This window comes from Homo sapiens, chromosome 3 (assembly GCF_000001405.40).
Source record: "Homo sapiens chromosome 3, GRCh38.p14 Primary Assembly".
Taxonomy (NCBI): Eukaryota; Metazoa; Chordata; class Mammalia; order Primates; family Hominidae; genus Homo; species Homo sapiens.
In genome coordinates, this window is record NC_000003.12 from 30,547,886 (window position 1) to 30,552,725 (window position 4,840).

General features: G+C 40.8%; 3 annotated features.

The window, feature by feature from the left end:
• Positions 1,485-2,370: an enhancer, noted in NCBI's record as "OCT4-NANOG hESC enhancer chr3:30590862-30591747 (GRCh37/hg19 assembly coordinates)". NCBI's record gives its function as "activates a minimal SCP1, AML or CMV promoter by ChIP-STARR-seq in naive and primed H9 embryonic stem cells {active_cell/tissue: H9 hESC(naive and primed)}" and the evidence as "EXISTENCE:reporter gene assay evidence [ECO:0000049][PMID:30033119]".
• Positions 3,329-3,861: an enhancer, noted in NCBI's record as "OCT4-NANOG hESC enhancer chr3:30592706-30593238 (GRCh37/hg19 assembly coordinates)". NCBI's record gives its function as "activates a minimal SCP1, AML or CMV promoter by ChIP-STARR-seq in primed H9 embryonic stem cells {active_cell/tissue: H9 hESC(primed)}" and the evidence as "EXISTENCE:reporter gene assay evidence [ECO:0000049][PMID:30033119]".
• Positions 3,947-4,481: an enhancer, noted in NCBI's record as "NANOG hESC enhancer chr3:30593324-30593858 (GRCh37/hg19 assembly coordinates)". NCBI's record gives its function as "activates a minimal SCP1, AML or CMV promoter by ChIP-STARR-seq in primed H9 embryonic stem cells {active_cell/tissue: H9 hESC(primed)}" and the evidence as "EXISTENCE:reporter gene assay evidence [ECO:0000049][PMID:30033119]".

Below are 4,840 nucleotides of genomic sequence, written 5' to 3' on the forward strand. Positions count from 1 at the left end.
CGTAGAGGCATGAAGCGCAACTGCTCATGTTCATGTTCCTCCTTTCATAAAATATTCATGGCTCCTCCTGTGATCTATTGAGTATGTATACTTACCCAACCCACTCAGCATAAATTTCTGTTCCCTTTATCACTCCCTCCAAGTGCTTGCTCTTGGCTTCTGCCAGAGGCTATGCTTCTCTGCAGGATGACCAGCCTGCGGACTAGCAACCCTTTATGAGAAATAAAGCTCTCCTTTCCAAATGTATGAATCTCATCATTTTTCAGTTGATAGTGACAATGGTATCAATATCCAATATTAAGATTGTCAATCCTCACCAGCACTTGACAGAGACTTCCCCACTTTAGTCTGCCACTCAATTCTGAGGAAACTAGGAAAAGCTCCATTTTTGAGCCCGGAGCTCAGGAAAAGAAAAACCTGTGACTTCCACTTTAACCTGGGCAGTCAAAACCCATTTCTGTTATATGAAGTGGGCCATCAGCAGCACAAGTGACATTTATAAACCAGATATATTTTTGTGACATAGTTGTCCAATCATGAGCTAAACCGGGAGTTTCTGCAAGTAAGAAGTGAAAAAGACATTGTTATGAGCTGAGCTGTGTTCCCCTAAAATTCCTGTGTTGAAGCTCTAACCCCTAGAATCTTTGAAGAGGAATATATTTGGAGATAGGGCCTTTAAAGAGTAATTAAGGTAAAACGAAGTCATAGGAGACAGCCAAATGCCTAGGCAGATAAAAAGGGGTCCCTGGAGAATCATAGATCCACCCCACAAGTGTTTACATCAGATGTTTTTGTGCAGATGAGGAAACCTGCCAGGGCCTTGTCTGAGCATGCCTATATGTGAACTGGGGAACAGGGTGGAGCCACGGTTGGGGGTGGAGCCACAGTCGGGGGTGGAGCCACAGTCAGGGGGTGGAGCTAAGTCAGGGGGAGGAGCTTGGCTTCCTCAGTCCCTGTGTGGTGGCCTGAGAGTCATTCACTCTGTGAGGTGGGAGACCTGTTAGCAGGATTCCATCTTGCTTTGCTGGTTTTTTTCCCCCCTTTATGCCCAGTAAAATCCTGCTCTACTTACTCTTCAATGTTTTCCACGTGCCTAAATTTTTCTGGTTGTGTGACGAGAACCCGGTTGTAGCTAAATTAAGGAGCAAAATTCTGCACCAATAAGGGTGGGCCCTAATGTAATACGACAGGTGTCCGTATAAGAAGAGAAGGTCAGAGACACACAGAAAGGGAAGACTACATGAAGACACAATAAGGTGGACCTCTGCAAGCCAAAGAGAGAAGTCTTAGAAGAAAGCAATCCTCTTGGCACCTTGATTTTGGATTCTAGCCTTCAGAATGATTAAGAAAATAACGTACAGCTGTTTAAGCCCCCTAGTCTATGGTTCTTTGTTATGACAGCCCTGGCAAACTAATTACAGACACCTTTCCAAAGTTTCTAAATCCAGTTGTTTCTTAGATTAAATGGCACATGGAAGAGTGGTTAAAATGTGCCCTCATCACTAGGAAAAGAGTATCACCAACCCTGGTCTGACTTCTACAGGTCTATCATGCTGATGGCAAGACTTCCTCACTCCGCTTTTTAACACAAGATTTTCCCCAAGCCAGATAGGATGCTGCCTGTTCACTTTTCTATTTTAAAAATGCTTTACAAATGGAGCTGCTAAGTAATTGATAACATATGGTTAACAGGAGAAATAGAATAAAAGAAAAAGACTATCTCTCCGTGGCATTGTTCTCCAGACCTTTTTTCCAGCTGGGCTTGTACCAAAGGAACCACTCTGAAAAGAAGCAACTGAGGAGCACTTTAAAATGTGAGTCCTAGGAAACAATCGACCTCACTTCCCGGCACTTGTGTCTTTGTCAAGCAACAGGAACACCAGAATTGCCCTAATGGAATGGAACAATGACCTATTTATTCTGATATCCTGTCTCCTACTGAGACTTATGCCAGGTTCTTTTGAGGAAGGGCTAAACACCACATAAGCACCCTATTGTGTACCACTTGATTGCATATGGAGTTGGAAGACTTTGGAGAGTGTGGGAAGGGTGTTTTTCTTCCTGAAACACGTGGGATGTATAAACATTATCCAGTCATTTGTCCCCATAACTTGAATTTCTAGAGACTTCGGTTAGCAGGATTTCTGAGCTGCAAAGAGTATAGAATATAGTAGTCACACACACCACTATGTATTTTATTATTTTCAACTACCATTTGGTTTCTGTACCTTGTCTTCTTTGCTCTCTAAGGTGATCATACTACCACCTTTTAAAAACTTTTTATTTCGACCTTCAGTAAATTTCATGTATTCAATTTCCCATGCCTGCATACAGAATACTAATAGTTTCCAGTTATCCATACTGATCAAATTTTAATCTAGATCTGAGACAAAGTAGGAACAGGGCTTTTTTTCAGTTCATCCCCACTAGAGCATTCTTCCATGCATTCCCACTGATTGCAAAACCTGTGCCACTACCTGACACTGTACCATTAACTTAAGCCTTTAGTCATAGAAAGAAAATAGCCATTCTATATTGTCTTTCTGTGCTTTCACAATGTTTAACCATGCCCTTTATTTCAAGAATTCCAGGAAATGGCCTTAGGAAATCCAAAATATCAAACCTAGGTTGCAGAGTGTCTCACCTCAGGAAGAAGTGCTGAACAATTGATTTGCAGCCTTGTTGCCACAGGCCAGACCACCAGGTGAACCATTACTCAAGATAGCCATCACAACCAGATAATGCTGACCTGCATACCCTACCCCTAATATAAATTCCTGTGCTTTGCCTCATATCCCAACTGGCTTTTTCCAGAAAGCGAGTCGGGGAATTCTCTCTCATGCTGTCTCCCTTATGCCCGGGCATAAGCTCCAATGAAGCCTTGTCTGCGAGAACTCTTTTGGCCTCATGTCAATTTCTATTGCACTGAAAGCGCAAGAACCCATGGTTGGTAACAGATCCATGAAAAATTTAAGATCCTTAACTTTAGCTGGGCATCAGAACAATATTTTATTTATCTCTATTTGATATCTCTTTTTGTTAGCGGTGGAAGAGATCTGAGTTACCCTGAGTTACAAGCGGCAAATCTGTATGGGTTCACAGCAACTTCAGTCCTTGCCTCCTCGGAAGAAAGAATTTGACTGAGGGGCATAAAGCAGAAAAAGACCAAGGAAAGTTTCAGAGCAGAAGTGGAAGTTTATTTAAAAAGGCTTTAGAATAGGAAAGATAGGAAAATTCACTTGAAAGACGTCCAATCAGGCACTTGAAGGTCCAGGAGAGAAAAGAGAGCAGAAGAAGACAGCAAAAATGACCTTTAACCTTGATCCTAGGACTTTATAGGCTCAACTCTTTCCCATGTTTCTTCCCTTAGGGTGGGTTTTCCTCATGCTCGGTGCTCTCCTTACCTTTGGGAATTGAACATGCTCAGTATGTTTAGGTAGTTATACACATGCCCATCTGATGCTTTCTTCCCTTTTCCAGTGGAGTGTGACCCAGAAGATTTTATCTTAACACGCATGCCCAGGAAGTTGCTTCCCCCTGGGGTCTGCATTCAATTAACATTTTTATGTTAACAGGTGTGGACCATCAGGAAATGGCCTCTCCCTGACACTGCCTAACTATCATTTTTAGAGAAGCAATGTGATAATTGCTGAACCATCATCACCTGACATTTCTAGTGGGTGGGGGAGAGCCCTTTCCTGCCCTACTCATGCTTAACTACCTGTAACATTTTCACACAGCTGTAAATAAACAACAAGAAAAAAACCTACTTTTTCTTTGGAATGCTTTAGAAACCTCAAATGCATCCTTGTATTTCCTACTATTTGCATTATTTTGTTAGTTATCTAATGTTTACCCAATCAATTATTAGCTTTTGTATTACATAATGTTTATATCCTTGAAGTTTCAAAATACACCAACAATTTTAATATACTAATGAGTAGCTACTGATGGGGCTCAGAACTCAACACCACCCCAAAATATGACTGTAGATCTGAATAGGGCACTCCAAATATGCCTTTTTCACATAAGGATTATTTTGAGCTGGTTACATTCAGAAAGTAGGCAGACACAGGCATAGCTCTTAAAAGTTACCTTTTTGTAAATGAAATTGATATCTGTAAATTAAGTGTCCATTTGTTAAGGGTATCTTCCTCTCTACACCAAGAAGAGAAGGAAGACTAAATCACTAGAGATTCCAGCATCAATGGAGAAGGCATCTGCATAACAAACCTTACCTTTCACTTCTCTTGCTCATCTCACCTTAGCTGGGCCTTTCCCCACACCCTTCGTTGTTTCAGAATATGGTGATATTTAAGTCTGAAGTTTAAATGCCTTCTTTGAGATACATTCTGGAGACTTCTCATTTCACTGGTTTTTCTCCAATGTATGCATGAGGAATACATGTTAACTAACTTCTATTTTTTTTTCCTCTTTTTAATCTGTCTTTTGTTAGAAGGAGTCCCAGTTAAGAACTATGAAGGAAAGAGAGAAAATGATTTTTCTTCCCCTACACTGTATCTTCTCTTAAAAAGAAATTTACAAATCTCTTGGCATATTCACATTATATCTGCATCCCTGGTTCTGTCTATTGTTTGTCACATTGGTGATGTGATGCCCTCAAACTGTACAATATGAAACTTTATGGTGACAGCTATAAAAGATAGATAAAAATTTACATAAAACATTGTCCAAAGCAATCTTCTCTGAACAGAACACCCTGACTAAAGTGACAATGGAACTCATATGGAAGAATACTTCATTAGAAACATGACAAGCTCAGGGCGTATTTAGAGCACTCTTTAGAGTAACCTGAGGGAGTGGATGAAAACACAGGAGA